Source organism: Homo sapiens, chromosome 7 (assembly GCF_000001405.40).
Source record: "Homo sapiens chromosome 7, GRCh38.p14 Primary Assembly".
In the NCBI taxonomy this organism is placed as follows: domain Eukaryota; kingdom Metazoa; phylum Chordata; class Mammalia; order Primates; family Hominidae; genus Homo; species Homo sapiens.
This window is the reverse complement of record NC_000007.14, coordinates 104,992,474-105,016,063: the sequence shown is the minus strand read 5'-3', so window position 1 is coordinate 105,016,063 and position 23,590 is coordinate 104,992,474. Positions and strand designations below refer to the sequence as shown.

General features: G+C 42.1%; 1 protein-coding gene and 1 long non-coding RNA gene across 7 annotated transcripts in view, besides 8 other annotated features; one reads left to right on the top strand and one right to left on the bottom strand.

The window, feature by feature from the left end:
• The window catches only part of KMT2E (lysine methyltransferase 2E (inactive)), a 100,815-nt gene extending 98,956 nt beyond the window's left edge, over positions 1-1,859 (bottom strand). For 5 of the 6 annotated variants that reach the window (XM_011516400.3, NM_182931.3, XM_005250493.2 and 2 more), the window contains exon 1: positions 1,529-1,859. The gene's annotated coding sequence lies outside the window, so the exon portion shown is untranslated. The remainder of the gene's footprint in view (positions 1-1,528) is intronic. The other variant, NM_018682.4, reaches the window with a different exon arrangement.
• Positions 1,540-1,769: an enhancer, noted in NCBI's record as "active region_26457". NCBI's record gives its function as "activates an Ori minimal core promoter by ATAC-STARR-seq in GM12878 lymphoblastoid cells {active_cell/tissue: GM12878}" and the evidence as "EXISTENCE:reporter gene assay evidence [ECO:0000049][PMID:35858748]".
• Positions 1,830-1,919: a silencer, noted in NCBI's record as "silent region_18513". NCBI's record gives its function as "represses an Ori minimal core promoter by ATAC-STARR-seq in GM12878 lymphoblastoid cells {active_cell/tissue: GM12878}" and the evidence as "EXISTENCE:reporter gene assay evidence [ECO:0000049][PMID:35858748]".
• On the top strand, positions 1,923-5,522 carry KMT2E-AS1 (KMT2E antisense RNA 1). The gene has a single exon (NR_024586.1). It is a non-coding gene; the product is annotated as a KMT2E antisense RNA 1 (long non-coding RNA).
• Positions 2,030-2,149: an enhancer, noted in NCBI's record as "active region_26456". NCBI's record gives its function as "activates an Ori minimal core promoter by ATAC-STARR-seq in GM12878 lymphoblastoid cells {active_cell/tissue: GM12878}" and the evidence as "EXISTENCE:reporter gene assay evidence [ECO:0000049][PMID:35858748]".
• Positions 2,270-2,319: a silencer, noted in NCBI's record as "silent region_18512". NCBI's record gives its function as "represses an Ori minimal core promoter by ATAC-STARR-seq in GM12878 lymphoblastoid cells {active_cell/tissue: GM12878}" and the evidence as "EXISTENCE:reporter gene assay evidence [ECO:0000049][PMID:35858748]".
• Positions 2,311-2,850: an enhancer, noted in NCBI's record as "NANOG-H3K27ac-H3K4me1 hESC enhancer chr7:104653661-104654200 (GRCh37/hg19 assembly coordinates)". NCBI's record gives its function as "activates a minimal SCP1, AML or CMV promoter by ChIP-STARR-seq in naive H9 embryonic stem cells {active_cell/tissue: H9 hESC(naive)}" and the evidence as "EXISTENCE:reporter gene assay evidence [ECO:0000049][PMID:30033119]".
• Positions 2,470-2,519: an enhancer, noted in NCBI's record as "active region_26455". NCBI's record gives its function as "activates an Ori minimal core promoter by ATAC-STARR-seq in GM12878 lymphoblastoid cells {active_cell/tissue: GM12878}" and the evidence as "EXISTENCE:reporter gene assay evidence [ECO:0000049][PMID:35858748]".
• Positions 2,940-3,309: an enhancer, noted in NCBI's record as "active region_26454". NCBI's record gives its function as "activates an Ori minimal core promoter by ATAC-STARR-seq in GM12878 lymphoblastoid cells {active_cell/tissue: GM12878}" and the evidence as "EXISTENCE:reporter gene assay evidence [ECO:0000049][PMID:35858748]".
• Positions 3,931-4,471: an enhancer, noted in NCBI's record as "H3K27ac hESC enhancer chr7:104652040-104652580 (GRCh37/hg19 assembly coordinates)". NCBI's record gives its function as "activates a minimal SCP1, AML or CMV promoter by ChIP-STARR-seq in primed H9 embryonic stem cells {active_cell/tissue: H9 hESC(primed)}" and the evidence as "EXISTENCE:reporter gene assay evidence [ECO:0000049][PMID:30033119]".

Below are 23,590 nucleotides of genomic sequence, written 5' to 3'. Positions count from 1 at the left end.
TAAACATTTTAATCTACTTTGGCATATTGAATAAAAGATGGTTGGATTAAACCAAACAAAAACTATTATTGGTACCCAAATAATTTTTTTTTAATGTTGAAGCGCACCCATCATCACCACTGAAATTTGCAAGGCTGTTTTTTTTTTTCAAAAGTGGAGACATTTTATTTGCCTTTCAGGAAAAACGAATCAAATTAATCAGCTAAAACACAGCACTGTAATTTGCAGTAAAAAATCAACACATTTTTGTAACTGGCTCGGGGAAGGAAAAACAGCCCAGTCTTTTCATGTAAACATAATAAGCCTGTAATATGCTGCAGACAAACGCACTGCATGGGGTGTGGAGGACCCGAGCTGATTAGATTACCACAACATCAGCCTGGGGCCGCCATTTTTAGAATCTGTAAAGGACAAAAGAGGGAAATTTCAGTTTTTACTCCCCATCTCAGAAATTGAAGGAAAAAAACAGACTATTTTCCAAATAGGTATTCATGTCTCCAGCCTCGAGTTGAATGCACCTCACTTAATTCTCTCCAAGGTCTCCAGAACTCCAAACACCTTACCTTATTCACATCTCTAAAAAGGGAACAAAATAGGCAAAACGAGGTTTACTCTAGAGCTAACTCTAGCGATTCCTCTTTGACTTTAAATTGTATCGTTCTTAAGACAGAGCCCAGCAAGGACGGATCTATACGGAACTAAGGCCAGTAGAAGAGAGCACTCTGGATTGTTTTTTTCTCACCCCCACCCCGTTTAGCACAGTGAACCGTTTGTTTCTCATCTGTGTCTGCTGCCATAGAATTTGTGCCAATCCCTTGGTCAAAATAAGCTTTTCTGAAATGAGCCATATTGTAGATCCTAAGGCTCCGGCACAGTAAAGGACGGCGGTAATGCAAAAGGAGTGGGGGAGGAGACTGAGAAGGCTGGGTACTGGGGTGACCACTTCAGGGGCGGGTTTACCCTCTCCAGGAGAGGATGAGGAGCTAGCTGTCTCGCTCTCCCACAAAGAGAGATGCCCAGGGCGTTCTTCTTACCCCCTTCGTATTCATGTGCACATTATACCAGAGACTGCCCGTCAAGAAATGGAAGAAGAAAATGGGGCCTATATGGCTTTTCAGCACCTGAACAAGACGCGGTTGAGAAAAGGGAGCGCTGGCAGCTCCTGGGACCACTTCGACACAAACCCTACTAACAGTCACAAGCCTCCGTCTTCACTCAAGCGGCCTTAACCCGCTGCCAATGAGGAGTGCGCCCCCTCCCTAACTCCCCCACTCTCAAGGGGGTTTAACTGCCAGTTACCCCTTTCCCAACCCTAAAACCCGCCATAATGCTCCATTTCTAGGGTCAGGGAGAAGAAAGAATAAATTCGATTTAAGCAAGCAACGTCTTGCGCCGGCAAAGACACCTGAGAGTCAACGTCGGCTCCCCCAGCTTAAGGATAAAGATGAGAGACCTCCCTCCCCCTTGAAACACAAGTACCCCAACCCCGCAAGCCCCAGGAACTCCCATGGAGACGACAGGCACTAACCTGTGATGTTCACACACGAGACACCCGAACCCCGTTATGTGCTCGACCCCCAAGGAGTCTCTCCGCACCTCCGCGAACAGGCGACCCCCCGACAGCAGCCACTGCGGACACAGGACCCGGCTCCACACACCCCCTCCCCAAACAGCAGCGCGCAGCCTCTTCACCAGGAACCGAGGAGTAGGGGAGGGGGCAGCCAGGCAGTCAACAGGAACGCAGAGACGACGGCGAGGCTGCTCGGAGTGTCTATGCCCACTCTGTTGCCGCTCCCGAACTCCGGCACGGTCTCCGACTCGGCCCCCTGCGCCCGCTCAGTGTCACTGCCTCTCGCTCTGGGAAAATGGCGGCGGCGGCGGCGGCGGCCGCGGCGGCGGCGGCGGCGGCGGCAAGTGCACGGGGTACGCCCGTCCCGCTCCGCAGGGGCAGAGGGGGAGGGGATGAAGCTGCCCGGCGCCATTTTGCTTGTGGGCTGCCGCCCGCCGTTGCCTCTCCGCGGAGGCTCGAAGATAGCAAACTGGAGGCGGTGAGGGGGACGGAATCTCTGTCTTTCTGACAACAGATGCATTCAACAATCCACCGAAGGTTTGAGGAAGTGTCGGTATTCGGTGGGACTGGTTCTTTCCCCCTTTCCCCCAGTGGCCCTCAAGTCTGGATATAGGTGAGCTTGGGCATGCCAGTATTGGGTGCACGAACAAGGACAGCAGGGCTTGGGAACGAACTCCCTCCCGTCACCCTCCGAAAGCGATACACCTTCTCCCCCTCCCAAACAACCCCAGTCCCGTCTCCCCGTTCCTCTCCCCCTCCTCCCCCAGCCCAGTCTGGCCTCCAGCGCTGGGTGAACCCGGTTGGGGTGTCACTCGACGCCCACTAGGGGCTGAGGAGGCTCCAGTGCGCAGGCTCCGGGCACCGGATAAAAGCGGAGCTGGCGAGTCTAGTGCTGTCTCGATGGAGGAGCAAGAAACGGAAGAGGTCGGGGGGAGAAGCAGCCGGAAAAATGCAGCCACCGTCAACGCCGCCTCCCTGCCACCGTGCTTCGGGGTAAAAAGCTGCCGTTGCCGTCGGTGCAGTTGCCGTCGCTGCCTCCTATACTTCTCTTGGCCTCGGGGAAGGATTTCCCCACCGGTGGGACAATGTGCGGGGAGGGGAGTGGGAATTCCTTTATATGGCGGTGATTAAACGAGGGAGGGACAGACAGTGATCTCGAAGAAAAAAGGGGGAGACCAAAGAATAAAAGAAGGGTTTCCCCACTAAAATGACACGGCGATTCCGGCTCTTGTTTTGGGGGTCTTTCCCCGAAATGGTTTCCGTCTTCCCCTTGCCCCGCAGCGACCCAGAGCGCTGGGGGAAGCGGAGTGGGGAGAGGCAGAGGCGGTCTCGGCAGCCAATCAGCGCCTGATGTGTCCTGTCGGGCGCGTCGTGGTTGGCTGGCGATGACCTCATCCTGCAGCAGCGGGTGGGGCCAAAGCCGTAGGGGGAGGCTGTTGCAAAGGTAGAGAGGGAGAAGTGACGATGGTGATCGTTGCTGCCGCGGCCGATATGGAACCCAAGCAGTGGCGAAGGGAATCGCAAGGCTCTTCCCTGACCATTTTCTACTGTCCCTGCGCGAGGTGAGGGCCCCGGCTCGGCCTCTGCAAAACTTTGGGGCGCTGGCGCGGAGGAGGAGACAGGATTTCTCCCGTGACTTTTGTAACTGCGTCAGGGCAAGATGGCGCTGGGTCTCTTTGGGGCGCGGGGGGAGAGGCACGTCCACCGCCGCAGCGCATGTGACCGGGCTGCATTCCTGTGGGGTTTGGCTCCGACCCAGGCCGGGGCGGGGGAGGGGACAGGGCTTGGGCGGAGGAGACTGTGGTGCGGTCGGCGTTGGCGGCCTGAAGAGGAAGAGATGACTGTTGGAAAGCGTTCCCCTCCCCCATACGGCAGAACAGCTGCGGCTCCCAGGGGAAAGCCCCCGCAGGACAGTCCTCGTGGGGTGTGACGGCTGTTGGTGGAGAAGGTTTGGCGCCCTATTTTCTTATCTGCCTTTCTCCCCGCAAAGTATACTTATGTAAGGTGGTAGTTCCCTGACGTGGGACTCGGAATCAACTAGGAGTCCTTGAGGGCCTCTGGGAGGCCTAGCGAGGGGTAGACCAGCTTCTGGGGGTACAACGTCAAGGAGGATCGATTACTTTCTGAGGAAACAGTTTCTCAGATTGAAATAGAAAAGTATTTCCAAAGTTTGGAAACAAATTTAAAGGTGTAAATAACACCCAGGAACACTTTAATTGCTTTGAAAAGGCATAAGCAGCCATCTGAATTTAAGGGCCCTTTTCAGACTCTTCCTTCCTCCTGTGATTCCTGTTCTTTATTTCAGTTTTCTGTCTGTACATCCCTTAAGAATATAGTTTTGTCGGTGGGATTCGCTCTTTTGTGCCCAGGCTGGAGTGCAGAGGCGAGATCTCGGCCCACTGCAACCTCCGCCTCCCCGGGTTCAGGCGAGTCTCCTGCCTCAGCCTCCCAGGTAGCTGGGATTACAGGCGCCCACAACCACACCCTGCTAATTTTTTCTATTTTTAGTAGAGACGGGGTTTCACCCCATTGACCAGGCTGGTCTCGAACTCTCGAGATCCGCCCGTCTCAGCTTCCCAAAGTGCTGGGATTATAGGCATGAGCCACCGCGCCGGGCCTGCTTTTTTTTTTTTTTTTTTTTTTTGCACTGGGCATTAGTAATACGGAATAAAAGCCGTGTTTTAAACTGTATTAAGTTGTAAGACTTTTCAGTACTTTCAAGTCTGCTTTCTTTCTGTTGCCCTTTTGTAGTTTTTAAAAATAAAAGATGCAATTATAAGCACTTCCGGTGAATATTATTCCTTAAGGTTCCTGCATCATCATGAAATTTGAAGCACTTTTATAGTAGTACAAACTATACTTTTAGCTTTTGAAATCTCGATAGGAGAAAATATCCAGCAGTTTTAGGGGCTATTTTGGCATATTCATTAAGGTAGACTAAGTTTGTTTTTCGTTTTTCCCACTTAGCCAAACTAGTTAAAGTAGTCAAAACTAGCAAATAATTTTTAAAGGGCTTCTCCTTTTGGGTGGTGTAGAGGGTGGGGAGTTATTCAACAAACACATTTGCAGCCAAAATCTGGCCTACTTCTTGGCAGAGCGCTTATACTTGGTGCTACGAGAAAATGATTGCTGGACCTGAAAAGAACCTGAGGTCAAGGTTGTGCTATTTCCTTAAGTCTTAGTTGTAGGCTCTTGGTAGTTTGAAAACAAGATTGGGTTTTTAATTCATTTGTGTATCCTTAAATCCTCACTAGTTTTTGTGGATTTCTTTTTTCAGTTATAAGCAACTGAATGTGGATGAGCTATAAATATTTAGTACAAAGAATGTAATTTGTCCACTCTGAATAGAAAGTAAGCATTAAGAACTCTTGAATGTCTTCAAGGGTTACTTTGTTACGTGTAAGATGTCTCCCCTTCCTTCATAGCAGTTTTTATTCCTGCTTAAAAAGGGAACTAAATATGAAGTCAGTAGATTTTAAGGTAATTTTCAGAATGTTTCTACTTTCACCGTGCCTTAATAAGGAAAAAAGGCCATTTTCCAAGCGAATGGAAACACCCTTTCCTTGTTTTGTGCCTTTAATCAGCGTGTACCTTCATTGTTCCTGATTGCCAAATCCACGAACTTCTTGAGCTCTCAATTTTTCTTGACTTTCCTATGGCATTTTAAATACTGTTCATACTTGGAATTACTTTTCTTTGACTGCCTTCATACATTCATATATTCTGCCTGGGCAATTTCATTTGGGCCTATTATGTTCCAATACCTCTCCAATTTTCACCTCCATCTTAGCTCTGCCAGCTTCAGTGCCACAGGTAGGCAATGTAAAAGTTTACTGGGGACCACAGGCTTTCTGAGCTCAATAAAAATACTAAGCTTGGTACTTGTTTTTTAAGAATTTTCTTCCCCCATCCCCTCACAAAGATTATTTGAGTAAATTACACCCCAACCTCCTTTTCCTTGTTTTTGTTGAAATTATTGTCTCTTAACTTTGGAACATTGCAGTTGCGGTAAGCTTACTAGGTTCACATAGCATATCTTCTGGTGTGTTAAAATTAAAATGCACACCATCTCAAAAGTGCTATGCCATTTCATACCTTTGTGCTTTTGTCCTGCTACCTGGAGTGCGTCTTTCTCACTTCTGGATAATACAATTTGAACCTTTTCTTTGCCTCTTGAAACTGCAAAATCCCTACTCGCAAGTAAATGTGTCATTCTTTATGTTGATAACCCAGCCTAGTGCTTGACACTTGATGGGCATTCAGGTATACATGGTTTTTTAGAGATTGATAAGATTAACTGTGCAGTCTATAAACTGTAAATACTGGCTTTTAAACTCTTTTAAAGGAGCTCTTTTGATAAACAATTTGGATAAGAGATGAAAGGTTAGGGAGGCTCCAGGCAAGGCAGAAGACTGCTGATGGCCCAGAGATAGTTCTGCCCCAAAAAGGTGGGAAGAAGAAAAAAACTGAGCTGGATATTTTTAAGGAAATATATTTTATAGCATTTTTCTTTAATGCCTAGTTTTGCTGCAAGCACTGAAGTTTATCCTGCATTTGTATTTCTTATTTGAAAAAGAAATGGCCTTTGGGGTTTGTTTTGTTTTTTGTTCCTTTGTAAGCACACTGCAAAAGCGGCGTTGTCAGCGTTGTCTTTTGAGGTATCAAACGTGCTTTCAGTCAGCAAATATCTTGTATATAGTACCATTCCTAATAAACTAAATTGGTTATCAACCTAATACAAACGGTACTTCATACAACTTAAGCCTAAACTAGATTAGATTATGTAGAAACTTATTCTTAGAGAATATATCGCCTTAATATTTCTTATCCTGAAAAGAGTATTTCTTAAGTGCCCCTCTCAAAGTATATCGATTAATATTTGTCTCAAATTTAAAACTATATCCTGGTTTTTCCCTTACAGTTGTTTAGCAAGTAAATGTTTACTTACTAATTTATTTTCTCCCAGACTTCATTCTACCAGTTTAAGCTTAGCTCAGTTTTGTTTTTTGGTTTTGAGAAGGAGCTTTGCTCTGTCACTCAGGCTGGAGTGCAGTGGTACGTTCTCAGCTCACTGCAGCCTCCGGCTCCTGGGTTCAAGCGATTCTCCTGCTTCAGTCCGTGAGTAGCTGGAACTACAGGCGCACACCACCACGCCCAGCTAATTTTTGTATTTTTAGTAGAGACAGGGTTTCACCATGTTGGCCGGGCTGGTCTTGAACTCCTGACCTCAGGTGATCTGCCTGCCTCAGCCTCCCAAAGTGCTGGGATTATAGGCGTGAGCCACCGTGCCCATCCTAAACTTAGCTCAGTTTTAATGCTACTTCCATTTCTTTATGTATAGTTTGATGTAAGAATAACAGTTGGAAGTAAGGATTTAGGAATAACAAGAGTTTGGGATTTTTGTTTTTTTAATTAGCAAGGTAATGCCACATCAGGTCATTAGTGACATTAATGAGAGAACAGGGGAATTATTGGAAAGTCTTGACTTAAGGCCAGACGAGAAATCCTTAACTGCTAGTGTGACTTCCCTCCCCACAAAAGAGAATGCTCTCGTAATACACCGAACTGTTGGATGCTGTTGTATATACTTTATATATAATCTTACCCAAGGTGGCAGAGCATTAACTTTAACATCTGTCTCCCTGACCTCACCAGAGTTCATAATCTTTGCCCTACTTACACTGTCTGAAGGATGACTTGGCCTTTTTTTTTTTTTTTTTTTTTTTAATTGAGACAGAGTCTTGCACAGTTGCCCAGGCTGGAGTGCAGTGGCACGATCTCGGCTCACGGCAGCCTCCACCTCCTGGGTTCAAGTGATTCTCCTGCATCACCCTCCCCAGTAGCTGGGATTACAGACGCTTGTCACCGCGCCTGGCTAATTTTTGTATTTCGGGGTTTCGCCATGTTGGCCAGGCTGGTCTCGAACTCCCCACCTCAGGTGATCCGCCCATCTTGGCCTCCCAAAGTGCTGAGATTACAGGCATGAGGTGTGGCACAGGACAGAGAAAGACTTACTTTAAAACATACCTGTCTTCAACCCAGAAGAGACTGGCTTTTAGAGCCCTCAATGTAGCAAGAAGAGCCTGAATCAGAGCAGGAGTGATAAAGAAGGAATCTAAGTTATTACAGAAACATCCGTAATTGTTGCCTGGGTGGGTATAAGGAAGAAGAAGGAATTGACTTTCAAGAAAAATAATTGACATTTGATAGTCTTCACAGATAAAAGCCAAAACAGGGTAGATTCAGTCTTAATAGGAGACAAATTTAGCAAGAAAGCTGAGATCTTGGGTCGGTCTACATTTTAGGCCAAGGAAAAGGAACTGATTGCATTTGTTTTTTAAGATAGATTATACGCCAGTGCATAACATATTTAACCTAAGTCTGATTAGCTTTATAATAATTTTTAAATTATTCATAACTATCCTAAGCAATACCTTTTATTGTTAGATTATTATGTAATGCCCACAAATGATAGATAGCATTTGAAAGTAATTGCTGGCTGATTATAGGCATGGTGGCTTATGCCTATAATCCCAGCACTTTGGGAGGCCAGGGTTGGTGGATCACATGAGGCCAGGAGTTCAAGACCAGCCTGGCCAACGTGGCAAAACTCTGTCTCTACTAAAAATACAAAATAATTAGCTGGGCGTAGTGGTGCACATCTGTAATCCAGCTACTCAGGAGGCTGAGGCATGAGAATTGCTTGAATTGGGGAGGTGGAGGTTGCAGTGAGCTGAGATCGCACCACTGCATTCCAACCTGGGGGACAGAGTGAGACCCTGTCTCAAAAAAAAAAAAAAAAAAGGAATTGCAAGTAGCCTGTAATCCCAGCACTTTTAGGAGTCCGAGGCAGGAGGATCACTTGAGACCAAGCTGGGCAACATGATGAAACCCCTGTCTCTACAAATAATTTTTTTAAAATATTAGCCAGGTGTCTGGCACACGCCTGTAGTCCCATTTACTTAGGAGGCTTAGGTGGGAGGATCACCACTTGAGGCCAAGAGATCAAGATCAGCCTGGGCAACATAGCAAGACCCCCACCTATAGGAAAATAAATCCGAGCGTTCCAAGTGTTCAGCTATTCACCCACTTTAGGTTTCCACCTTCCTTAGAAAGTAGAGTAGTATAAATTATTTCTGAAATTTGTGAAACGATGTACCACATAACCCTCTCAAACCAGGTTGCTACTACTTCCAATGACTTCATTGATAAGGGGCAAAGTAACTCGAATGATGGGTGAGCTCATGACATGGTTTAGCTCCGTATCAAACTCTGGATTTGGGAAAATTGCTACTGATTTATTAAACACTTGAATTCTTATATGCTAGGTCAGAATTTGGCAACTAAACTCTCAGAAATTTGTAAACTTCCTTTTTACATAGAAAAGTGAATCCAGGCTGGGTATGGTGGCACGTGCCTGTAATCCCAGCTGCTCAGGAGGCTGAGGCATGATAATTGCTTGAACCTGGGAGGTGGAGGTTGCAGTGAGCCCAAGATTACACTGCTGTACTCCAGCCTGGGCAACAGAGGGAGGCTCTGTCTCAAAAAAAAAAAAAAAAAAAAAAAAAGTGAATATACTGTACTGTAAAGCCTGTGCACCTCTTCATCACACATAATTGCCTGTACATTATGCCCAGTGCCTGGCCCCTATTGGATTTCTGACAAGCTTTAATGTTGTTAGGTTAAGAGAGAACCTGTTCCTCAAGTTTAGTCTTATCTCTAGTATTTAAATTTTTCATGAAGGAAGGCTGTGCTAAGGCGATACTTCATTCCTGAAGAACACTTACTTAAATAAGTAATGTTCAATTAATTTTCCTCATTCTATGAAAAACTTGAAAAGGCAACAAAAATATTCACTATTCTCTGGTTCATTTGATAACAATATTGTGGTAGTCTAGGCATCTCTCCCATGTCCCAAGCACAGCTTATCTGACCACATCTATACAACAGACATTCTGTAGCGACTCTCTTTGTTCTATTCCATGCTCCTACTTTATGGCCAGTGAAAGGGCAAATGGAAGTCAAAAGGGTAAGAGGACACGTTAGATAGCTTTGATTGAAGCATTCTTTTAGAAGTTAAATGACTGAAAAAGGTTTTACAAATGACATCGAGTCAAGGGTTCATCTGAAAGTATCTAAAAGTTAACTAGTTCCCTTTCTCCACAAACTCTGCCCATGTAGGTAAGTTTTATTTTTCTGAGGAATAAGAAACATATGCAGTTATTTGCATTTATAATATTTTGTGAAAGTTCTGTATTTTCTTGTTTTTTTTGAGACGGAGTCTCTGTCACCCAGGCTGGAGTGCAGTGGTGCAATCTCAGCTCACTGCACACTCTGCCTCCTGGGTTCACACCATTCTGCTGCTTCAGCCTCCCGAGTAGCTCGGACTACAGGCGCCTGCCACCATGCCCGGCTAATTTTTTGTATTTTTAGTAGAGATGGGGTTTCACCGTGTTAGCCAGGATGGTCTCGATCTCCTGACCTTGTGATCTGCCCGCCTCGGCCTCCCAAAGTGCTGGGATTACAGGCGTGAACCACCGCGCCCGGCCAAAAGTTCTGTATTTTTATGAGCTCCAGGTGGTCTTATATAACCCATAGCATTTGATTCCTAAGAATACATCCTCTTGGCCAGGCGCAGTGGCTCACACCTGTAATCCCAGCACTTTTGGAGACCAAGGCGGGCAGATCACAAGGTCAGGAGTTTGAGACCAGCCTGACTAACATGGTGAAATCCCGTCTCTACTAAAAATAGAAAAATTAGCTGGGTGTGGTGGCGCACGCCTATAATCCCAGCTACTCAAGAGGCTGAGGCAGGAGAATTGCTTGAACCCGGGAGACAGAGGTTGCAGTGAGCCGAGACGCGCCACTGCACTTCCGTCTGGGCGACAGAAGGAAACTCCGGCTCAAGAAAAAATATATATATATCCTCTTAAAACTCCTTTGCTTTTATGCTAATACTCTTAACTAGTTGATTTCTTCAGCTTCTTAAATGTTGGATTTCCCAGTGTTGTGTCCCCACCAATGTTACGTTATCCATTTTACTAACTGCAATAATCAATTCCCATACCTTTACCTGTCGATGACTCTAGAATTTGTAATCTCTGAACTCAACTGAAACTACTAAATACATTACTTGTCCTATGAAGTACCTCAAACTAAACAAATTTAAAACTGACCTTGGCCGGGCACGGTGGCTCACACCTGTAATCCCAGCACTTTGAGAGGCTGAGGCGGGCAGATCACTTGAGGTCAGGAGTTCGAGACCAGCGTGGCCAGCATGGCGAAACCCCATCACTACTAAAAATACAAAAATTAGCCAGGCATGATGGCACGTGCCTGTAATCCCAGCTATTTGGGAGGCTGAGGTGAGAGAATTGCTTGAACCTGGGAGGTGGAGGTTGCAGTGAACCCAGATCACGCCACTGCACTCCAGCTGGGGCAACAGAGCAAGACTTTGTCTCAAAACAAAACAAAAAAAACCTTTCTTTAGATAATGGCTAAAACTATTTTCTAGCTTCATAAAATCAAACACTTTTCCAAAAATATGTTTCCAGAAAAATCTTTTTAACTTAAAAAACTGTTCATTGACCAGAGATTTGAGGGTCGAGTCAAAACACACTGTGACGTGCCAGGTCCTTCATCTGACCCCTGCTTTAACCTCCCAAAGTGTTAGGAACATCATGAACGCTGCTTGGAACTAGAATAATCCAAGTTTGAATACCACTTCCACTTCAAGGAAGACTTAGGTAGTTTGCTTTCTGGGACTCAGTTTTATAATCCATACAGCAGGTAAAATATTAACTATATAATGGCGTTAAGAATTAAATTAGATATAAAACCTTTCAGGAGCAATTATTGATTTGTAATCCCAATTTTTTTTGGTCCAGAAAATAAGACATTCCCTTCTATTTGTTAACATGTGTTCCTATCATGCTGTCATGTTCATGTTCCTCTTTTCCATTAGTATATGAGATCTTGATAGACACAATGTTTTTCATCTTTATGGCTGAAGTGCACAGTTCCTGGCATGTAATAGGCATGCAGTTTTGTTGCACAAATGAATAGATAATCTGCTTTGATGCCAGATGCCTGAAAATGTTGCCCATAGTATGTGTTTATTACAATAGAAAGTCCCTTGAATATAAAATTTGATGCAAATGGTCTGGTTGATTCTATACCATCATCTTGTAAGACTTCAGAGGGTTTTCCCACACTTTTCAAAAACATGTATCTATTTTGTTGCAAGCTAGAAGGACTAGTCCCTACTCTATTCATTTATAATCTAGTTTGGGATTAAGCCACATCAGTAAGTAACCAAGTACTGTAAGCATTCAGCCAGATATCCCAGTTCATGGGGTAATGTGTTTCACAGAGGAAATAGAATTTTTGGATTAGGAGGCAGATAGTTCTGGGTTTCATTAGGGAAAGGGTGGGGCAGTAGAGTACAACATATTTGCAGTCAGCATGGTTTTATGTGTAAAGGCATAAAACAGTAACAGAGACAATGTTTTAAGTAAACCAATTTCACTGGGCTTGTGTGACCTAGTACATTGAGAGATGAGACTGGAAAGGGGGCGGATTGGACCACATAATTTTATTTTATTTTTAATTTGGAGTCTTTTTTTCTGTGAGTCTTAGGCCACTACTTTCTCTATTTTGTTTCTTTTATATTTAAGGAAACAGTCTCAGGGAAATGACTGACTGAGTCGCAGTGTAATGGGGGACAGAGCCAGGCCTGAACCCCTAAATATTGCTGTTCTACCTCTAAGTTGAAAATAGGACAGTCAGTAAAGAGTCTGTTGTATACTGGGTTATAAGATCTCATTTCTAATCTAACTTGGATGGAATCAAGATTAGAAAAAGTACTTGATTCTTACATTTTTTTCTTCCTTGTTGTACATAAAAAGAGATTGGCCTGGCACAGTGGCTCATGACTAATCCTAGCACTTTAGGAGGCAGAGGTGGGTGGATCCCTTGAGTCTAGGAGCTCAGAATCAGCCTGGGCAACATCGTGAAACCCCGTGTCTACTAAAAATACAAAAATTAGCTTGGCGTGCTGGCATGCTCCTGTAATCCCAGCACTTTGGGAGGCTGAAGCAAGCGGATCTCTTGAACCTGGGAGGCAGAGGTTGTAGTGAGTTGTGATCACGCCACTGCACTCCAGCTTGGGCAACAGGGCAAGACCCTGTCTCCAAAGAAAAGAAATGAAATGAAATTAGGAGCAAGCATGAGTTTTAAGTGTCAGACTTCCTTTCCCAGTACACTCACCTACTACAGGCTGCATGATCTTATTACTTCACTGAACTGTTTCCTTATCTGTAAATTGTTTGATTATCTACAAATGTGTAGCTTGCTACCTGACAGCATTAGATATTGGATAATTGGTTGTCATTGCTATTAATAAACACGGACTTAGAGAGTTCTTGAAGTTTTAGTTTTATGCTGAGAATCCATGTAACACTGGCAATCTGTGTCTATACCTGTATCTATAGCAAAAGCCAGAATTTACCACAAATTTTGCTGTTGTATCAGGAAATACATCTTGACAACTGATACTTATTCTTAATATTATTATTCTGTTATTTCTTATTCTAGGCCCCAAAAACTTTTATTAAAATGCTTCAAATTTTAGGTTAGCATTTTTGTTGATGTTTGGACATCTTAAATTCATTATACTCATGCAAAATTTTTTTTTTTTTTTTTTTTTGGAGACAGGGTCTCTGTCACCTGGGCTGGAAAATATATCTTTATAGTTTTATGCACATTTGGCAATCAGCAGAAATAATAAATTGTTGTACTATGTCTATGCTTTGCTATCTTTATGTGACCAAGACATTACTGTGAAACTGAATACTATCTGGCCACATATATAACCATTGCTATTAAGAAAGTTATGATTGTGACTTGGAAATAGTCATATGGAGACAGTTCTGATTTAATTCCCAGGTAACTTTCATATTCTCACCATTTTGCAGTGTGCATTTCAAAATAATTTTTCATATCAATTTGTAGATGTGGGAACACATCGATTAGAAAGCTGAAGCTAACTTATTCTCAGATAACAATCATTTAATTGTAACATTGAATTTTAAGAGGAAAAATACAGTATGCTGTCTTGTCTTTTTCTGCCCTTTCTTTTCCATGTATGGCTGGTTCATGTTTTGCTTTAATAACATTTTTTGCCTGGGCAAATGTCCATATTATACATTCTGATCACTTTAATTCCATCACCCTTGAAATTTTAAAAAGCAAACGTTTGATTTAGTGGCTTTTAAGTTAAAAAATATTTATCGACATCTCTCATCATTTTATCAGCTTCGTTGGTACTTAACATGGTAGTTCTACTTTATGAAAGAAGCCCGTCACTAAAATACAACATTCAAAATTAAAACATAAATTTTCATAAATTTCACAGTGCTTTTTTGTGTTTGTTCTAGAAACCGTATCTCACTCTGTGGCCCAGGCTAGAGTTCAGTGGCAGGGCAGTCATAGCTCATTGTAACATAGAGCTCCTGGGTTCAAGCCATCCTCCACCGTCATCGTCTCCAGTAGCTAGGAAAGGCATGTGCCACCAAGCCTGGCTAATTTTTAAAAGAATTTTTGTAGAGGTGGGGTCTTGCTGTGTTGCCCAGGCTGGCCTGAAGCAGTTTTCCTGCCTTGACCTCCCAAAGTATTGGGATTACAGGCATAAGCCACCACACCAGGCTATAAGAGTGCATTTTTAAAAAAGATAAAAATGTCTAAGCCCTGTTTGAGTTGTAAGGTGTCATCAGATATGATGCTGGGTATATCAGCTTATTCCTTTCTTCTGAAGGTTGTTTTTATGCTATCTTAATGAACCATCAAAGGTTCTGAAATCAAACATTTTGAAAATACTTGACTTACGGCCATTTTATATCAAGTGTATATGCTTTTATTGTTTGTGTGCTTAAAACTGGTTATTTTCATGAATGTACTTTCTATGGATCGCTAAAGGTCAGAACCAGCTAAGAATGAAAATGAGTACCATTTATACTTACTGTCAGCTGAACACTTGCATTATTTTTACCTTTATGGTGTATCTTACAGAAATTAGTTTTTAGGTCGTGGTTTCATACATAGCAGAGCAGCTCCCTCCCTGCCATCTATTCAAAGTCAGCCCTGGACACAGGGTTTGTCCACCCCCTCGCGCATGCCTGGCGTCTCCGTTGCCATCCGTCTCTCTTACTTCCTCCCTCTCAAACTCCCTCCCAACACCCCTGGGGGCCTCCTTCCCTGGTCCACGCTTGCCCACCCTCTCCGGGATCCCAGAGCAAGTGGCGGGTATCTCGTCGAAAAGCGCCCGTCTCCATCCGATGCCTTTCCAAGCTGGCGGTGCTCAGGGGCATGGTGCCATGCTGGGGGTGGCCGAGGTTGCAGGGGTGCCCATGCTTGGTGTCCCACCTCTCTAGTTCTAGTCTCCTCCCCCAACCCTACTAGGGGCTTGTCCCTGGTCTGGGACAGGCTTGGAAAGTGTGGCGCGAGTATGGCTGAGGCGTGGTTGTTTGAGGGTGTGACCCTGCAGTCCCTGTCCCAGGGATAGGGGTGGCCGTGTGGCCCAGGGGTGGCCGAAAGTGGCACTGGGGTCCAGCCCTCTCCCACTCTGTGGTGGAGTGGGGCAGTCACTGCCCTTGAGCCCTTTTAAAAAAAAAAAGAAATTAGTTTTTAGTGATAGGAGAGAGAATCTTTTTGCCAATGAGGTAGTTGAGATAAATTGAGATAACTCAGATATAGGTACTATATTTTCCTGGGTATTATCAAATTTGATCTTTTTTTATCTATCAAATTGGATTCATATGAATCAATTTATTCAAATAAGTGGTTACATTAAGTTTTTTTTTTTGTTTTCAGTACTTTATCCTGTGTCTTGCTCTCATGGGTAATCCTTAACGTAGTCACCTAAGTTTTAGTTCCCATTCTTTTCCATCCTCCTCCTTTTTTCCATCCCTGTACTCTCCAGACTTCCCTCTGGATCAACTATGCAATTTCTGTATGTTAATGTAACAACATATACTCCTTCTGCAAATATTAATAGATGTATGTCATAGTGTTCTAAATTTGTTATCTTTACCCCTGGGGGCAAGAATTCGTTTTCTTTTTAACTGGCAAGTCATACTTTGGTACTATAGGAAGCCCTCAAGCCTCTGTGACCAGAGGTTAGCATAGGGAAATTGAGACATTTTAAAACGTTTTTCATATTAAGGTATGAAGAAAACTGACCTTCATTGTACTTTGGTAGTAGACCGCTTCCTAATTCATTCCTTTAGGTCCAAGTAGCCTTCTCTGAAATTAAAAACAAAACAAAACATATTGAAAAAGATTGTAGGGTGAAGTTATATGCCATCAAAATGATGATGACATACAGGTATTTTTGTGTATCTCTGTCTTTTTTGACAACCAATCAAATTGAATTTTTTTTTTTTTTGCCAGTTAAATAGAAACTGGTGGCCAGGTGTAATGGCTTATGCCTGTAAATCCCAGCACTTTGGCAGGGGCCAAGAAGGATGGATTGCTTAGCTTAAGAGTTCAAGACCAGCCTGTGCAACATGGTGAGACCCTGTCTCTACAAAAAATACAAAAATTAGCTAGGTGCAGTGGCGTAAGCCTGTAGTCCCAGCCACTCCAGAGGCTGAAGTGAAAGGATTTCTTAAGCCCCAGAGGTCAAGACTGCAGTGAGCCATGTTCCTGCTATTGCACTCCAGCCTAGGTAACAAAGCAAGACCGTTTCTCAAAAAATATATAAGTAAATAAATAGAAACTATCAAATTATTTTCAAGGATAAGGAAGGACTAATCAGTAGTTTAGTCAGAGGCCTAGATCAAAACATAACATGTATTTTTAAATTAATCTCTTTAAATGCATGGTTAAGTTACCTGTATATGTGCTCAGTAAAATCGGTCATTTGTGGGGAAAAAAATGGCTATTTGGTTTTCTATGCATAAAATTAAGATAGAAGTCTTTTTCCTCCTAACAGCCTTCATCATAGTGGATTTAAAAAAACCAGTGTCACTTAGGCTGTGTCTTATTTGTTTCTAAAACAATGGAACAAGTCAGATGTTTGTGGAATACATTTTATATTTGCAAATAAAGTAAAAATTTTTTCTTGCCTTTTTTATGAAATAACTATAATTTGTGTGAAGATTAAAATACTCTAAAACATGAATTGACAAAGCAAAATGAAGGAGCCAGATTTCAAAATCAAGTTGTGGGGTGAGGCATGAGGATGGGAAGAAGAGAATTAAGCATTGATATATGGAGTTTTAATTTATTTCCTTAAAATTCATAGTGAAAAGAATAAGATTTTGGGGGGGAGGGCACGGAATCTCACTCTGTCTCCCACGCTGGAGTACAGTGGTGCAATCTCGGCTCACAGTAACCTCAGCCTCCTGAGTAGCTGTAACTACAGGTGCCTGCAACCACACCTGGCTAATTTTTTATTTTTAGTAGAGACAGGGTTTCACCATGTTGGCCAGGCTGGTGTGGAACTCCTGACCTCAGGTGATCCGCCCACCTCGGCCTCCCAAAGTGCTGGGATTACAGGCGTGAACCACCGCACCTGGCCAAAATTTGGTACTTTATAACTCAATAATTGCAACCAGACCAGCTAACTTTTTGAAAACTTGGGGCTCTGTAATGTTCAGATGAAGGTAAATGTAGGGAATAGACCCTCTTTAGATTGAGGGAGTAGGAGTTTTGACATCACAGGTCGTTTGGACTTAAAGGTATGAATTTGAAAGTAGTTTGGTTATACATGTCCTTTGCAACCTAGCCTCTCTTTCATTAGCGGAATTAATTTTGGTGGAGGGATTCATTCATATTGTTAGTATGTATCGAGGGAGGCATTGTATACCAGAAGGCTTTGAACTGGTTGGGAGAAGTGTTCTTATAAGAACAGGGTAATTATTAATCATAATAATCTTTGTCAAGGTGCCTAAGTAACTCCCTTATGTAATAGCAGCCAGTGATTAGATAGCTTCACATCAAGCAGGTTGGATTTGTTCCTTTTGAATCAAAGAACCCTTTGCTTCATAATCTAGGTCTTGTGTCTCACCGAATCCTTTATAATATAGAATAAATGGTTGAAAGGAAAGGCTCACATTCTGTATTCCTGAAATTCAAATAGGATAACTTTCTCAAAGTTTTAGGATAGACCAAATAATGTATGTCCATGTAGCTCTAAGATATGAGTCAACAAAGCAAAATAATTATGAAACTCTTGTGGGATTTTTGGTAGAGTTTTTATGGAGATCCAGTGTATATGAGAAGCAAACTAAAGAGAGTTGCCAAGGGTTTTAGAGCCAGTCAAATTCCTAGACTTTAGGATTTGTTGAATGAATTGAATGGAAACCAGTATAGTTGTCAGTTTTAAGTTCACTCAGTATTAGCATTCAATTAGATACTGAGTTTTAAAATAGTTTTTTTTTTTTTTTTTTTTGAGACAGAGTCTCACTCTGTTACCCAGACTGGAGTGCAATGTTGCGATCTTGGCTCACTGCAACCTCTGCCTCCAAGTTCAAGCAGTTCTTGCCTCAGCCTCCCAAGTAGCTGGGATTATAGGCGCCCACCACCATGCCCGGCTAATTTTTTACTTTTAGCAGAGACAGGGTTTCACCATGTTGGCCAGGCTGGTCTCGAACTCCTGACCTCAGGTGACCCACCTGCCTCAGCCTCCCAAAGTGCTGGGATTACAGGTGTGAGCCACGAAGCACAGCCTAAAATGGATCTTTTAATACCAAATAAGGACATTGTCTTATGATTTAAAAAGTGTCTTTTTAAAACCTGGCTACATTGTTCTTATTCTCACTTTGCTATAGAATAATGAAAAGTTATCCAACATTCATTTTGGAATATTGTTTTGGAATAATTCATGTATCTCGGCTGTCTGATTTTACCAACATGGAAAGCATAACTCAAAGACAATTCTTTAATCAGTTTTTAAAATGAAACTACTTTTCTCAGCTGTTAAAAAAATAGATTTATAATAATAGTCATCAGCATTCTTTTAAATTGTGACAAGTTAGTCTTAGAAGGATACAAAAATGTATAAAAGACTTGTGAATTTCTGACAAATTTAAATTAGGATATGTCCATAAATAGCAATTAAAATTGTTTCCAAAGAGTTATTTCAAAGCATCACATATTACAAAAAAATGGTGAAAATATAAATATAGGTCACAATTTATAGGACTTTTGTATATTGTGTATGTTTCCATAGAAATAGGTAAAGGAAATAATGGTTTCTTTTTGGGTTATAGGCTTACAGATGGATTTTCTATAGCAGGCGTATGTTACCAAAAAAATGGGAATGGGCTGATGCTTGGATATTAACTTAAAAATGGGATACAAACTGGCCGGGCCTGGTGGCTCATGCCTGTAATCCCAGCACTTTGGGAGGCCGAGGTGGGTGGATCATGAGGTCAGGAGTTCGAGACCAGCCTGGCCAAGATGGTGAAACCCCGTCTCTACTAAAAATACAGAAATTAGCCGAGCGCGGTGGTGGGCGCCTGTAATCCCAGCCACTCGGGAGGCTGAGGCAGGAGATTGCTCGAACCCAGGAGGTGGAGTGAGCTGAGATCATGCCACTGCACTCTAGCCTGGGCAACAGAGCAATACTCTGTCCAAAAAAAAAAAAAAATGGGATACAAACTGAAAACAGTATGGTCTCAGATTATCAGAAGCCTAGGAATCATCTTCCTTTCTTTAATACCCATGTTCCTTATGTCCCTAATGTCTGTTCTAACTATAGTTCTTGGCCTATCTCCCCTCGTTGTCTTCACTCCCACTGCCACTACTTTAATTCAGGTCTGGAAAAGTGTATTCAGTCACTCACTCTGAATATTTGCTAAATACATGAGTTTGTGTATAGAACTGTGTAGTAACCTCCTAGCTTACCCTGGCTTTTAATTTTTCTAATCCATCTGTTAACACTTCAAAGTGATTTTACTTAAATGTGTATCTGATATTGCTTGAAAGCTTTTAATGAATCCCATGATCTGCCTCTTGCCTTTTTTTCCAATCAGAAGTACCCAGTTGCTGCTGCTTTTGCTTCCAGCCATATTAATACAGTTTGAGCATCCCTAATCTGAAAATCCAAAATCTGCAATGTTCCAAAATTCGAAACTACCAACATGATGCCACAGGTGGAAAATTCCACACTTGACCTTATGTGATAGGTCACAGTCAAAACTTAGTGTCATGCACAGATATTAAAAATATTGTATAAAATTACTTCAGGCAGTGTGCATAAGGTGAAGCATTTATGAAACATAAATGAGCTTATGTTTAGACTTGCATCCCACCCCCAATATATCTATCTCATGTATATGCAAATATTCCAAAATCCAGAGCACTTTTGGTCTCAAGCATTTCAGATAAGTGATACGCAACCTGTACTATTATCTCTTCATAGAATACCCCTGTCTATTTTGTGAATGCAAGTGTTTTTCTGTGTAGCCTTCTCTGATCTTTTTCCAATAAGTCTTATTTTTTATAATTCCATGTACCCCAGCTCTATTATAGCGCTTAACTGCAGTTTATTACAATTATTTATAGCCTCTTTACCCACTAGAACAGCAGTCCCCAACGTTTTTGGCACCAGGGACCAGTTTTGTGGAAGACAGTTTTTTCCCATGGATGGGATGTGGGGGTGGTGGTGGTTTTGGGATAAAACTGTTCCATCTCAGGTCATCGGGCATTAGTTAGATTCATGAGATTCTAAACTCCCCACTTTATGTAACACTCTACTTCTTTCTTTTCATTGATAGAGATAATATTTATGCATATTTAGGGGCACACGCTCCTTATTCTACTCCTGTAACATAGTAGAACTTATTCCTTCTAACTTTACTTTTGCACCACTTAACCAACTTCTATACATCCCTCCTTCCCCCACCCCACTTAATATAAGCATCTTTTATTTTTTATTTTTGAGACAAAGTGCCTATCTCAGGTCATCGGGCATGAGTTAGATTCATAAGGAGTTAGATTCATAGATCCCTCACATGTGAAGGTTCACATTCCTATGAGAGTCTAATGCCACAGCTGATTGGCAGGAGACAGAGCTTTGGGGGTGGGGGTAATGCTTGTCCACAGCTCACCTCCTGTTGTGTGGTGGGGTAGGGGAGGGTGTTGGGGACCCCAGCACTAGAATATGAGCCCCTGAAGAGCAGAATATCTAACTTGCATTGTCTCCCTCAGATAAAAGGATTCAGTTTATTGTTAAACGGGTAGTGCCTGCATTTGTACCTAGGACATAGTAAGTGCTTAAGTAAATTTTGAATTAATTGGGTCTGTTGTCTTTGGTGTAAGTATAAATCTGCAAAATATCTCCTAAACCTAGATTGTAAAGAGAAGAAAGGTTAGAGATGCATTTCTGTAGTTAATGATGATTAATGTCCAAGAACGTAGCCATCCTTAGTAAAGAAAAAATAATACCAAGAAAACAGTTGGGCATATATTCCTCTTAGGTTTCATCAGGCACAATTATCTTGAAAGACTAGCAATCCCACATGACACATACCCTGGTACTCATGTGTCCATTGCAACTGTAAAGGTACTTTAACTTCAAGGGAACTTCAAAGAAGAGAACTTTCCCACAGTTCACTTTCTTAACAGTTCAGTGGCCTTATTTACAGGATGAAAGTTCAGGTAGATTTTCTGGCATCTTATTTCAAAAGAATAGATACTGTCCTCCAAGTATGGATGCAGAGACATCAACACTTACCAACATGCAGCAACAGTCATAGGAACTAAACAGATTTGTAGCCCAAAATGGCACTGGTAAAAATACATGTCAGTCTGCACAGAGATTCTGAATGATTTACAATTAACAGTAGATGATGATGTTAATACCTGTTTTTAAAAAGTTGAGTCCATCAATGTGCTAATTAATCCCTTCCACAACGCAAGCAAGTTTGTATTCTTTGGAAAGATTTGGCACCAAGTTAAAAGTCACTTCTAAGTTTTGCAAAAATAAATAAGTTGATTTATTCTGTTACATAGATACCAACAAATTTCCAAAGTGGTAGTTGTAGGTACTACATAAAGTACAAGTTTCCCTGCTATGGACATATTAAAATGCTGCAAGTTGGTAGTTCCCAAGCCGGTTTGATCACCATAATCATTTCTGAAACTTATTAAAATACTCTTAGGCTTCTTACCCACAGGTCCCAGAAACAAGATGTTAGATGTCATCATTCATAATTTTCTTACAGTGTAGCAATTTTTGAAGAACCATATGCTGCACTATTTAATAAAAATCTGCATTTTTGACAAACCCCTCATTCCCAGGTATTTAATTTGCAAATGCTACATTGATAACACTGATATATGGAATGGATTGCTTCTCTAAAATGTCTGTGGAAAGCAACAGTGCAAAGACATTATATTTTCATTTCTTTTTGGGGGAGTGTTACTGTAATATTAGACATCCGACCTGAGAAGTTTGGAGGTACTATTGCCATGAACCATTTCTTCCGTAATTCAAAAGTTATCTTTGAAGTGACTCTGATTACCTGGGACGAGAAGGCCTCATTTCTGGGATGCAGGCATGCATTTTAACATAGACTTCAGGACAAATTAAGTTGATGTTTGCTGCAGGTTGCTATGAAAATTTAAATTCCACTGAACTCACCCTCAATCTTTAGTGTTCCTACTGGGTGATATTTAGGATTGGCTCTGGGAACATGTGTTAATTTTTCTTAGTAAAACTTATTTAAAGCTTCAACACTAATACTTCTCTAATTTTGGTATCATGATTCATTCTCAGCTTTAAAAATAAAGTGTCCTGGATCAGTTTCCTTTTGCGGTAACTCCAAGCATATACAGTTGACTCTTAACAACTCAGGGGTTGGGCTCTGACCCACTTCCCATGCAGTCAAATTCACATATAACTTTTGACTCCCCATAAACCAAACCTAACTGCTAATAGCCTACTGTTGACTGTCAGCCTTACCAATAACATAGTCAATTAACATATATTCTGTATGTTATATGTATTATATACTGTCTTATTACAATAAAGTAACTAGATAAAATCAAATGGGCTGGGTATGATGACTCATGGCTAGTAATCCCTGTATTTTGGGAGGCCGAGGTGGGAGGATCATTTGAGCTCAGGAGTTCAAGACCACCCTGGGCAACAAAGTGAGACCCTGTCTCTACAAACCAGGCATGGTTGTGCATGCCTGTAGTCTTAGCTACTCAGGAGGCTGAGGCAGGAGGATTGCTTGAGCCCAGGAGTTTAAGGCTGCAGTGAGCTATGATTGCACCACTGCACTCTAGCCTGGGTGACAGGATGAGATCCTGTTGAGTTCAAGACCAGCCTAGCTAACATGGTGAAACCCCGTCTCTACTAAAAATACATAAAAATTAGCCAGGCATAGTGGTTGGCGCCTGTAATCTCAGCTACTCGGGAGGCTGAGGCAGGAGAATTACTTGAACCTGGGAAGCAAAGGTTGCAATGATGAGGAAAAAAAAATATATTTACTGTTCATTAAGTAGGAGTGGATCATAAAGGTATTCAATCTCGTTGAGTAGGCTGAGGAAGAGGAGGGGTCTTTCTCAGGGGTGGCAGAGGCAGAAGAAAATTTGTGTATAAGTGGACTTGTACATTTTAAACCCATGTTGTTCAAGGGTCACCTGTATTTAAAATTCCACATTCAAATAAATTTGACCCTTGTGTATATTATTAATAATATACATAATTCTTAGAATAATAAATGAATGTTAGATTGTAAAATCATTGGCCTAGAGGAGTTGCCTAAAGATTGAAATAAACCAGCTTCTTGGCTTCTTTATTTTTTAAATGAGGGGCAGACACAAAGTAAATTTCCAAGTCACCTTGAAATCAGGCACTTTGAAGCCTAGCTATGAGTAAACTCAGTTATACTGTCTAATACCCATTTTAGCTTTTCTGTTTACAGCATAAACTTTAAGGCCGGTTTTAGTTCTTTTAAGAAGTCAAAAGCAGAACCTCTCTAGCAGAAGTGTTTTTCAAACATT